The sequence below is a fragment of the Homo sapiens genome, chromosome 15 (assembly GCF_000001405.40).
Source record: "Homo sapiens chromosome 15, GRCh38.p14 Primary Assembly".
NCBI classification, from domain to species: domain Eukaryota; kingdom Metazoa; phylum Chordata; class Mammalia; order Primates; family Hominidae; genus Homo; species Homo sapiens.
Window position 1 is genome coordinate 90,293,105 of NC_000015.10, and position 11,879 is coordinate 90,304,983.

Consider the following 11,879-nt stretch of genomic DNA (forward strand, 5'->3'; position numbering starts at 1 on the left):
ACTGGTCATCATTCAACTACTTTCCATCTCTAAGTCTCTGTTTCTTTAACTTCAAAAGGAAGTGAGCTTTTTCTTCGCAGAGGTGCCGAGGGTTAAATGAGATAATACGTGGAAACATTAGGCATGTAGCACACTTAGCAGATGGTGGTTGGCTCCCTCTGCTTTTCCACCAGTCTGTGGCCTACAGTTTAAATGGCTGGAAGAAGAACGTGAGATTTGAGGCTGGGGAAGGAGGCATGGGGTTCTAGGCAAGGGAGGCAGTCTCTTAGGCCTGGAGCAAGGGGCCAGGGGCCTGGGCAGGCCACAGAGCCCCACAGTGCCCTCACTACCCTATTAATGGGCCAGGAATCTGGAAGCCAGCCACCAGCTGCCCTCATGCCCAGGGACTTCCAGCAGGTGGAGCTGAAGAGCCAAGAGGCTCAGAGTCTGCAGCAGCAGCGAGGCCAGTACCTGGGTCACCTGAAGCAGTACGTGGCCACTTATCAGCAGCAGGTGGCAGCCTATCAGCAGCTGACCTCTGAGAAGGAGGCGCTGCACAGGCAGTTACTGCTGCAGACCCGGCTCATTGGACCAGCTGCAGCAGCAGGAAGCTCAGGGCAAAGCAGTGGCTAAGATGGCCCGCCAAAAGTTGCAGGAGACCCAGGGGAGGGAGTTGCTGAGGACGGGGCCCCAAGAGGGACAACCTGGCAACCTCTGTGCCTTCTCACCCTCTTTCCTGGCATCTCAGGAGCACCTGGAAGCTACCAGCCAGCAGAACCAGCAACTACAGGCCCAGTTGAGCCTCATGGCTCTCCCTGGGGAAGGTACGGGACACCACTCAGAGGAAGAGGAGAGAGCCCCAGGAGGAAAGGGGGACTGTTAGCACTGTAGGATTGAGGAGATGGAAGAGACCTTTAAGACAGCTGGCCATTATGCTGACTGGGTGTCTGCACTAAGTTTGGCATCAATATGGTGACCTCCTGGGAGCGGGGGACCACCAGGTTGCCTAAGGATGGGAGAACTGGCCCAGGTCAGAAATGGAGCAGGTCAGAATTCCTGCACCAATCGGTAGTGGGACTGTGCCTGGGCAATATAGCAAGATCTTGGTTCTTAAAAGTAAAAATAAAGAACAGCTCATTCCCCTCTGGGGAGGGGCTGGCTCAAGGTTACACAGTGAGTGTGGGGGCAGAGGTGAGCCCACAGTACCTCCCTTGTTGGGTTGTCTGAGGACCCCTCTGGCCACCCCCCCACAGGAGATGGAGGAGGAGGCGCCTCAGCCCATGCCGAACATCCCAGGGGACCTGGAGAGCCGGGAGACGGTGGTGAGCCTGACTTGCCCTGCCCCCACTTTGCCACCTTCCTCTGTGGTCCCTCCCAGACCCCCTTATGTTCTTGGTTTCCCCGCTTTCTGATTTCTGTGGACTTTCACTCCTTCCGGGAGCCAGTGATCAGACACCATTTCACCTGTGACCAACAGGTGCACTCTCTGAGGCCCCAAGGGAAGGGGCTGCGCTCCACCTCCCTGCCCCAGTTGTTCTGTGTATGCCCCTACAAGAACACTCACCTCTTGCCTTCAGGTGGCATTTTTCAACTCCGCTGGAACCAGTGCCCAGGAGGAGCAAAGGATGTGCTGCCAGCCCCTGGCTCACCCAGTGGCCTCGTCCCAGAAGAAGCCAGAAGCAGCAGCCCCAGCCCCAGGGACTGGGGGTGAGTCTGTGTGTGGGGGGACCCACCGGGCCCTGCAGGGGGCCAAGGAGAAGTTGTAGATGAGTAGGTCCTGGCATAGGCCAAGAAGGGTGGGGGTGGGGCAAGGCAGGTGGCTCCTGAGACGTGATCCCATTATTTTGGCTCCAGAGCGACTTTATGGACCTCCTGAAGGAGAAGGTGGACCTGAGGGAGTGGGTGGAGAAACTAAAGCTTCAATTCATCCACCTCTCGGGAAAGACAGACACCATGAGTGAGCGGGAGGCCAGGGCACGGCAGGGGGAGCTGCAGGGCCGTCGGAGGGGCTCCAGCATCTGAGCCATGTCCTCCCGCAGGAAAGTACATCACCCCATATGGGAGCCAGGGGACAGTGCCAAAGATGCGGCACCGGGAGGAGGAGGAGATCGTCAGGCTGGCCCAGGACCGGGAGGAGATGAAGGTAGGGTGTGCAACATCTCTGTGGGGGCGGGGGTGGGGGTGAACGTGGGTGCCGGCACCAGTATGGCAGCTGAGCACCCCTCCCTCCAGGTGAACCTGCTGGAGATGCAGGGGCAGGTGTTGCGGCTTGTGAGAGACCACAATGAGGGACATGGCAAGTTCCTGGCCACTGCCCAGAACCCTGCTGATGAGCCCACTCTAGGAGCCCCAGCCCCCCAAGAGCTTGTGTGTGCTGACAAGCAGGATGGCCAGTAGAACCTTCAGGCAGGGTGAGCAGGCAGGAGCAGGGGAGGCTCGCATGGCGCTCCGATCCCCTCCTCCCTCTCTCCGAAGATCTTTGTGAGGTGAGCCTCACTGACAGCGTGGAGCCCGCACCAGGAGAGGCCAGGGAGGGTTCTCCCCACGACAACCCCACTGCACAGCAGATCATGCAGCTGCTTCCTGTAACGCAGGACTCCCCAGGAGCACCCAGGCTTGGGCAGCAATCTCTGCATGCCTTTCTTTTCGAGCTGCCGAGAACAGGGAGATAAACACCACCATCATCTAAGAGCTGGTCAAGAAATTAAAAAAAAAAAAAAGTTAAGGGGTTAATCTCCTACACAATTCATTTACTTCATTTGAATGTTAGAGCCACTCATGTTTATTTGTGTTTCTAATTTATAGTTTAAATTTTATTTGTAAAAAGTTAAAGGAGAGTGGGTCTTTTCCTCATGTTCACTCTGGCATCCTTTAGCATGTTTCTTTTTTAATTTGATAATTGTAGGTCATTAGCATGCATATCAAGTTTGCCCTTATGTGGTGGGTGTTCAAACACACAAAGACCCACTATTTGCACAAAACTATTCTTCCTGGTTTGGGATAGGCTGCCATGCTTTTTTAATGTTATTGCAGCATGTATATTTATTATGGAATTCAGATAAAATTTGCTTATGTTCTGCTATTATGTTTGATCGAATCCTAATCACAGTGAGCTCTTCATCAGCTCAATATGTGGTTTGCCCTGAAGTGCGCGGTCTATTACTTTGTAATATGCCACTGTGAGTACTGACATTTACAGTTGCTTAAAGGCGGAGCACTGGAAACAGCCTTTCCCCCTTTTTCTGTGTATTGGGGATGGGAGTAATAACATTTTGGGGAGCTTTTTAAATCTCCCAGAAGAGGAAAGTGGCCTGCTCTGGCAGGTATGTGCAGGATAGAGTGTGTTTTATTTGTTTTGGTGCCAAGAATGAGCACTGTACTATGGTAGTTCCCTTAGGATTTGTATGTGTTCTGGGCTTATGAAGATATTGCATCATGAGCTGTGGCAGTTGTACTCTTTTTTGATGACCTAAAAAGGGCTTATTTCTGAGGAATGAAAGGCTCCCATCGTTGATTGTGGATGTGGAAAACCTTTCCTAGCTTAGAGCATTTATATCTATAACACATTTTAAAGTCAGAGTTCATGGTCCCTGTTTTAATCACGTGACTACATGTCCCAGTACACAAAAGGGCACTGGTTGGCATTCTTCTTAATGTATTTAGTAAAGATCATAAGAAATCCTTTAAGAGTTTAGATGTCCCTGAAACAGGCATACAGGCTCTAGTCAGGAATGAATTCGAGTGAAGGAAAGCTATGTGACACCTGGCATTCCTCTCTGTTCACGGAGCTTCTCTGAGGCTAGAAGATTAATTTTACCATCTAGACCTCTCTGGCTCATACCTATTCTTCAACCACATTGGCTACTTTGACATAGGAAATTACTTCTTTTCCTTGAATGGAGAACACTTTAAAAATAATATTATAAATGAATATATGTGAGAGTACTTGGTTGAAAGAAAAAGGAGTTTTAGTAGACAGTATTATTCTATATTTGAAAATCAAGGAGAAGTTTATGCGACTTAAAATGTTTACAAACTGCAGTGCAATCTACTGTTTGTGAATGTCAAAGTCTTATCAGGAAAAGTGTCTGTACAATCACAGAGTCCTACTTCCTCCGAAAGTTCTTTACGAAGAGTGAAATATGTTTTTGTACCTTTCAGTTTCAGTTAGAGGCATATTTTGTGCAATATTTATGTGAATGCGCCTATATATTATGAATGAATTATTTCAGTCATATGTTGCCTAAATCATAACTTGATGATGCTTGGGAAAGAATCAACAGTTAAAACCTCATGAAGTTCTAATGTCTGTATTCCAAAATACATCACATTATTAGGATGTAGGGAGAGATGTATGTGCGCTCCCTGGTGTGGGGATTTGTAGTTACTAGACCGTCTCCATTTGGCATCCTCATGATACTTTTATAAATATGACATTAATAGGAAAGCAGTATTATTTTTCAGACAAAATAACTGATTTGCCTGGATTCACGGAAAAAAATGCAAATATTGGGTCCTTGTGACTTCAACTGACTCTTCCAAATTGTATGAATTTATTAATGTATTAGATAAACCTAGTTTCAGAATGATAAACTGTTAGACCAAATAATGTGGCTAATTAACAGTGGTACGATTTCTAGCCCGAGGGTTTAAAATGGACTTAAGGTCCTGTTGTTGCCTTTTATTTTCTGAACTTGCTGCTTTTGCATTCTTTGAGTTCAGTTTAAAGACAGTTACTTTAAGTCCATTTTAAACCCTCGGGCTAGAAATCGTACCACTGTCAATTAGCCACATTATTTGGTCTAACAGTTTTTCTTTATCATTCTGAAACTGGGTTTATCTGATACATTGATAAATTATTTCAAAGGTATTTTAATAGTTCAAATCACTTCACTTTTACATTGATAAATGTAAATGACTAGGAATGACCTTCGGATAGCGTTTAGCATCTGTAATCAATCTGACAATAATGTGTTCATCAGGTACCTCTGGATTAACTCACATACCGGCATACTTAAGCTGAATGTCTGTCTGGAAATAAATTTACTATATTAACTGAGATACTACTTTTTGTGTAGGTATTTTTGTCATATATTTAAGAAAAAGCTAACAAGGATGGAAATCATATTATAATAACTTAAGTCTTTCTTCAAAGGGCATGCAGTCTTTTGCAATACCTCATTCAGCCAGATATTTGTTCTCTTTCTCATTCAGTATAAGACAGCTTTCAATTTGCTTAGCAGGCAACATTAGAAGGTTAGAGTTCATGGAAACATAGAATTTTAAAATGTGAGTTCAACCGAATAAATTTGAATTTCTGTAGGAGGTAAAGAATCAAAATACTTGTTTATTTAAAGGTTGCAGTATATGATAATCATTTTGAAGTATTTGATTAATACTAATAGGTTTTCCAGAACTGAAAAACTAATGTTAAAACCAAAGCTGATTTCTAGAAAATTTGAAAATGTAAATCAGCCTTATCCAGAATATAGTTTCTCTAAAACTTTCTTAGTCATTTTACAATAGTATAACTATTAAAAAATGTAACTGCTATTTTAATGTTTTGAAATAAATTAAAACATTTTAAAATATGAATACTGTAGCTTAAAAGAAAGAAACTAGGGGAAGGAAAAGTAAAGAAAGAAATGCCAATTCCAGTCCAAAACTTTATTTGCCAAGTTTTCTTATAATGACTTACCAATTTAGGAATTCTTGTAAACAGAATCTATAATGGAAATACTGAAAGACTTTTGCCTAAAGTGGCATTATTGAATACTGCTGTGATGCTACTGTATGTAATAAATTATTGTTGCAAAGTGCTGTTTTTGCCTTAAATTTTTATTTTGTGTGTCTTGAAAACTATAGTATTAAAGGTATTGAGATTGTGCAAATGCCAGGCATGCTTGGCATGAAATAGTGTTTTTATTTTTACAAAATTGTAATATGACTATGCAAGCATTTAACTAATTAATTAATTTATTTATTTTGAGATGGAATTTCACTCTGTTGCCCAGGCCAGAGTGCAGTGGCACGATCTCGGCTCACTGCAACCTCCACCTCCTGGTTTCAAGCAGTTCTCCTGCCTCAGCCTCCCGAGTAGCTGGGACTACAGGTGCACGCCACCATGCCCAGCTAATTTTTGTATTTTTAGTAGAGATGGGGGTTTCACTATGTTGGCCAGGCTGGTCTCAAACTCCTGACCTCGTGATCTGCCCACCTCAGCCTCCCAAAGTGCTGGGATTACAGGCGTGAGCCACCGCGCCCGGCTGCAAGTGTTTACCAAAAGAACACATACTGAAAAAATAGTTATGGGATTTTAAAAAGTTAGGAGATTAAAAAAAGTTATGAGATTTAAAAAGTTATGAGATTAAAAAGTTATGGGATAAAGTTACGTTATGGGATAAAAAAGTTACGGGATAAAAAATGTTATGGTCAGTGGCTCACTGGGCTTACAGGTGTGAGCTACCGCCCTGGGCCTAGTTCCCTGCTTTTGGATGACCGCGATCTTCATCTCATCTTCACCTGTCTCCCCCATCAGACACTTCTCCAGGCTTTGCTGAAAGTGGCCTGCTTTTATTTATTTAATATTTATCACATAACTTTTTTTCGTAAAACTTTTTTTGGAATATTTTTCCATAACTTTTTCCATAACTTTTTTCCCACAACTTATTTCCAAAACTTTTTTATTTTTATTTTTTTGAGACGGAGTTTTGTTCTTGTTGCCCAGGCCGGAGTGCAATGGCACAATCTCAGCTCACCGGAACCTCCACCTCCCAGGTTCAAGAGATTCTCCTGCCTCAGCCTCCTAAGTAGCTGGGATTACAGGCATTCACCACCACGCCTGGCTAATTTTGTATTTTTAGTAGAGATGGGTTTCTCCATGTTGGTCAGGCTGGTCTCAAACTCCCTATCTCAGGTGATCCACCCACTTTGGGATCCCAGTACTTTGGGAGGCTGAGGCGGGCAGATCACCTGAGGTCAGGAGTTCAAGACCAGCCTGGCCAACATGGTGAAACCCTGTCTCTACTAAAAATACAAAAAATTAGCCAGGTGTGGTGGCGGGCGCCTGTAATCCCAGCTATTCGGGAGGCTGAGGCAGGAGAATTGCTTGAACCCGAAAGGCAGAGGTTGCAGTGAGCCCAGATGGCACCACTGTACTCCAGCCTGGGCAACAGAGCAAGACTCCATCTCAAAAAAAAAAAAAAAAAAAAAGTTACAGAAAAAACGTGATTAAAAAAAGTCATGGGATAAAAATAAAAACAAAAGCAGGCCCCTGTCAGCAAAGCCTGGAGAAGTGGGGCCAGAGGCTCCACCCCCACCATGTCCCTGCCACCCCTTCCCAGTCACCCCTTTACCATTAGAGTAGCAAGACAAGACCCCTGTCTAATAGGGAGAGACAAACAGACCCTTTGCCACCCTGGCCAGGGCTGAGTCCTTAAATTTCTGGATGATGATGATTGTTATTTAAGAGGCAGAGGCTGATGGGAGTTGGTTTGTTCGGAGGAGGCCTCATGGCCTCCTTACTTTCACCAAAGCAATTTTTCCCTCAGGCTCCCGTCTTCTTAGTCAGAGAGGCAGCTGAGGCGGGACAGTGGGGCTAACTGTAGACCAGGCAAGGGCATGAGCTGCTGAGGGTGGCCCCCCTTCCCCCATGTACACATTGTGTCTGTGTAACGTTTTATATATTCTGGGGGGTAGGGCCGCCCCTGTATAGTACCTAGTGGAGATTGGAGCTGGCACATGGCGGGGAGGTTCTAATAATTATTTGCAGCTGGGGAATTTATTTGATAGCATAGGACAGAGGAAGGAGGCGGGGATGGGGTCGTGACTTCCTGGCGATGCAACTCCTGTTTATTTTGCTTTTTATTTTGGAATAAATGGATTTAGCCATACTGCTAGCCTGGTGTGTTCCTGCTTCCCCCACTGGGTCCTGGAGTTTGTGCCACTGAACGAGGAGCCCCAGAGTGTCCGAGCATGTCCAGCTGGTCTGTTGGGGACCTTCCAGACCTGTTACCTGTATGCTGCCTGGTGACGCGTGGGGGAGTCCACAGGGACTGCCATGGCGCCTACGGGGCACAGTCCGGCCCTGACGGCCAACAGGCTCAGAAGCCTGATCTAGCGGTGGCCGGGAAGGCAGGATGCCAGCACCCACGGGCACTGACTTCCATGCACCCCAGGCATCTTCCTTTCCGCCCCACTGCCTCCCTCGCCTGTCTGCACCTGGTGGCCTGTTCGACATGTCTGTCCCTCCAGAGTGCCGGCTGCCCCTCAGGCTCCTTCCGGGCTGAGTTCATGGCCCTGCCCCCTAGTGGCCAGAGCAGGCTTCACAGGATGAGAGCCAGCTAAGCTCCAGGGGCTTTCCAGGAAAAGTGTTCCTTGGAAAGGATGTGGCCTTTTCACCGCTCCCAGTACCCTAGTAATGGCTTGGCCTTACCCCTCCCCTGAGCTCCAAAGACAACACAGAGAGCAGAGGACACATTCCGCGTCATCCAGAAATGGGTTTGCTTGTCAGCCAAGGGAGAGCAGGACTGGTAGAGACTGTCAGGCCACACGGCACCCCCCATTCTTGGCAGGGGGTGGGAGGGATGGTGGGGCTGGCTGTCCACAGGCCGGGCATGACAGGGAGGCCCACTGGAGGTGGCGCACTTTGGAGGGGGGATGTTGGGGAACAGATATGGGTCTCAGTAAAGAAATCTGCTCTTTTACAATTCCTGCACCAATTTGCCATACTTGGAGATGACACATAGCAGCTTGTTTTTTACTTTTTCAAGAAAGGATATCATGGAAAGAAATCGAGCTGCCTTTCTATGAATAGAACTCAGTTGCCTTCCAGCCATAGGCTGCATGCTTCAAAATGTTCTTCAGAAATAAGAAATGGGTTGAGCTGCACCATCCACAGCCTTACCCTGAGCGTTCCCACCATGACCTCTAGCACATACGAAGTGCTTTGGTTAATTATGAAACCAGTGAAAATGAGATGAAAAGTCCTATTCTCATGCAGACCCGTTGGGTTATGCAGAGACAAGGTCGCAGGGACACAGCCCTAACCACAGTCTGCCCTCTGGAAAACACGTGTCTGTTCACATGGAAATGACACAAGTCTAGTTCTCGTCCAAAAGTCATGCAGCAAAACAAAAATGTCTGCAAAACTGGCAAGAGTTTTTACCATGACTTTAATTTTGAGGGTGCTCTTTAGCAGAGGCTGTTGATGAAGGAAGAATTCTATCAACCAGGACCACTGAGCAGGAATGAATCTATAGCTCCCTTTTTTAAGGCCAGAAAGGACCTTAAGTTCCTTTTGTTTCCGGAGGAGGGACCTGAAGCCTAGAGATGACAAAAGATTTGGCTTCTTTAAAGGATCCATCCAGCCCCCTCCATGAAAAGGAAATGAGCCAGTGTTGGTTTCAGTATTCTAAACTTTTGGAAAATGGTAAAACTGAAGGACATTGAACAAAATTACTAGGGTTTTTTCTATCTTGTTCAGTGAGTGTCAACATACTACATGTTTTTCATAATGGTTAGTTTTTATGATAAAAATACATTCTCATTGTATAAAATTTGGGAAATTCCAAAACCTATGGAGAAGAAGATTTATCCATAACCCCACAATTTATTCATTTGCTTATTCCAGCAACAAATAAAAGTGCATGCCTTACTAAGAGCAGGGCATGTTCCAAGACTGACTATCCAGAAATGATAGCCTTGAATTGATTCCCTTCCAACCCTTTTCTCAATACACTACTACTACTAATTTTAAAATCAGGTTATTTCGTTTTGGAATCTCCTTTTCACTTAATATATCACAAACCTTTTCCCAGTTTATCAAATAATATTCCAAGCTATGATTTTAAAGCTGCCTCACCTCAGCTCACATCATATCACATCACATCACATCAGTTTACATTATTAAACCATTCTACTTGGGACATAAGAGATGATCAATTTTTCAACATTATAAATAATGTTGCATGTAATATTCTTTGGTCACATACCTGATTATCTTTGGAAAGCTTCCCTAGGATTCAGATTGTTAGATCAAAAGCCTTAAATATTTTTCAGGTTCTAGATACACAATGCTCGATTGCTTTCCTTTTTTTTTTTTTTTTTTTTTTTTGGGGAGACAGAGTCTTGCTCTGTCGCCCAGGCTGGTGTGTAGTGGTGTGATTTCGGCTCACTGCAAGCTCCGCCTCCCCGGTTCATGCCATTCTCCTGCCTCAGCCTCCCGAGTAGCTGGGACTACAGGTGCCCGCCACCACGCCCGGCTAATTTTTTGTATTTTTAGTAGAGACGGGGTTTCACTGTGTTAGCCAGGATGGTCTCGATCTCCTGACCTCGTGATCCACCCGCCTCGGCCTCCCAAAGTGCTGGGATTACAGGCGTGAGCCACCATGCCCGGCCCAATTGCTTTCTTGAAAGAGTGTAATAGTTTTACTTCCACCAGCTACAAGAGTGTGTTTCAGTCATACAGCAAGGCCTGCCTCTCGAAACAACACCTATGGGTTAAAAAAAAAAAAAAGTCATTGTCAACTGAGTCAAAATGGTTTTTCTTTTAATTTGCATTTCTTACTTGACAACATAAGTCAAACTTTAAAAAAAAATTTGTTTCTTCATAAATTACCTTTGCATGCTTTTTGTCATTTTCCTATGGAACTGTTAATGTTTCTTCTTAGCATTCTAGTCTTAATATTTTTTAGCAAAGGATTTTTCTGACTGCATTGTGAGATCTGGCCTCCTGGCTGGGGCGGCAGGAGGTGGGATGGAGAAAGGGCGGGGTGTCAGAGCCAGGCCTGTTCTCTTAGTCCTTCCACAATCGCCAAGGTGTGACCTGGGCCAACTCTTGGTATCTCTGGGCTTCAGTTCCCTTCCCTGTAAATAGAAAGGTCTTAATTAAGGTCCCTTCCAGTGCTGTAAAAGGGAGTTTCAAAGCTTCTCTCACTGTTATGATTGTGATCAGCTTCGAAGGAGGTAGTGCTAGTGGGTAAACATCAAACTGTAAGCTTGCTTCCCCAGTTCCAACCTACCAGTACCACCTACACTGAGAAAATCACTTTGATGCTCTTAGTTTCCTGATCTGTAAATGGAAAATGTGTTTTACAGATTTGTTGTAAAAGTTATGTGAAATAATAAAAATCAAAGTGTATAGATTATAATATACTACAGACGGGCCGGGCATGGTGGCTCTCGGCTGTAATCCCAGCACTTTGAGGGGCTGAGGCAGACAGATCACTTGAGGTCAGGAGTTCGAGACCAGCCTGGCCAACACGGCAAAACCCCGCCTCTACTAAAAATACAAAAATTAGCCAGGCATGGTGGTTTGCCCCTGTAATCCCAGCTACTCCAGAGGCTGAGGTGGGAGAATCACTTGAACCCCGGAGACAGAGGTTGCAATGAGCCGAGATCATACCAAGGCACCCCATCCTGGGCAACAGAGCCAAACTCATCCCAAAACAAAACAAAACAAACAAACAAACAAACAAATGTATATATATACACACGCACCACAGACATACACACACACTGTGAAGTTGCATTTTTAAAGAATTTAATTTTCATAAATCTTAGTGCACAAACAAGTAAAGAAAACATTTTTTACCCTGTTGCATGTATCCTCCCTTTCAAACTAGACTCTAGCCTCCAGGGGTCCAAAGAGAATGAGATGACAGAGAGAATGTAAATAGAAACAAAAGAAGCTAAATCTTAGTGTTTGGGCTTCTAAGTATGGAGCCTCAAGTGATAATACGCAATTTTCTGAAGCACTTCTGTACATGATTTTCTCCTTGTGTGTGCTGACTTGACAGCTTAATTCACACACATAATACACACACACATACCTCACACACATAAATCTACCATATATATATATATACACAACTTACATAAGTGCTTCACACCCACTATAT

General features: G+C 45.2%; 2 pseudogenes, besides 7 other annotated features; both read left to right on the plus strand.

The window, feature by feature from the left end:
* Positions 109–268: an enhancer, noted in NCBI's record as "active region_10073". NCBI's record gives its function as "activates an Ori minimal core promoter by ATAC-STARR-seq in GM12878 lymphoblastoid cells {active_cell/tissue: GM12878}" and the evidence as "EXISTENCE:reporter gene assay evidence [ECO:0000049][PMID:35858748]".
* Positions 109–612: a biological region, named in NCBI's record as "H3K4me1 hESC enhancer GRCh37_chr15:90836448-90836948".
* Positions 112–612: an enhancer, noted in NCBI's record as "H3K4me1 hESC enhancer chr15:90836448-90836948 (GRCh37/hg19 assembly coordinates)". NCBI's record gives its function as "activates a minimal SCP1, AML or CMV promoter by ChIP-STARR-seq in naive H9 embryonic stem cells {active_cell/tissue: H9 hESC(naive)}" and the evidence as "EXISTENCE:reporter gene assay evidence [ECO:0000049][PMID:30033119]".
* GOLGA2P8 (GOLGA2 pseudogene 8) lies at positions 396–7,871 on the plus strand (annotated as a pseudogene).
* Positions 613–1,113: an enhancer, noted in NCBI's record as "H3K4me1 hESC enhancer chr15:90836949-90837449 (GRCh37/hg19 assembly coordinates)". NCBI's record gives its function as "activates a minimal SCP1, AML or CMV promoter by ChIP-STARR-seq in naive H9 embryonic stem cells {active_cell/tissue: H9 hESC(naive)}" and the evidence as "EXISTENCE:reporter gene assay evidence [ECO:0000049][PMID:30033119]".
* Positions 835–1,103, plus strand: RN7SL736P (RNA, 7SL, cytoplasmic 736, pseudogene; annotated as a pseudogene).
* Positions 7,017–7,209: a silencer, noted in NCBI's record as "fragment chr15:90843353-90843545 (GRCh37/hg19 assembly coordinates)". NCBI's record gives its function as "represses an EF-1alpha promoter that drives an FKBP-Casp9 reporter gene in an ReSE screen in K562 erythroleukemia cells {active_cell/tissue: K562}" and the evidence as "EXISTENCE:reporter gene assay evidence [ECO:0000049][PMID:32094911]".
* Positions 7,554–8,314: an enhancer, noted in NCBI's record as "H3K27ac-H3K4me1 hESC enhancer chr15:90843890-90844650 (GRCh37/hg19 assembly coordinates)". NCBI's record gives its function as "activates a minimal SCP1, AML or CMV promoter by ChIP-STARR-seq in primed H9 embryonic stem cells {active_cell/tissue: H9 hESC(primed)}" and the evidence as "EXISTENCE:reporter gene assay evidence [ECO:0000049][PMID:30033119]".
* Positions 10,473–10,522: an enhancer, noted in NCBI's record as "active region_10074". NCBI's record gives its function as "activates an Ori minimal core promoter by ATAC-STARR-seq in GM12878 lymphoblastoid cells {active_cell/tissue: GM12878}" and the evidence as "EXISTENCE:reporter gene assay evidence [ECO:0000049][PMID:35858748]".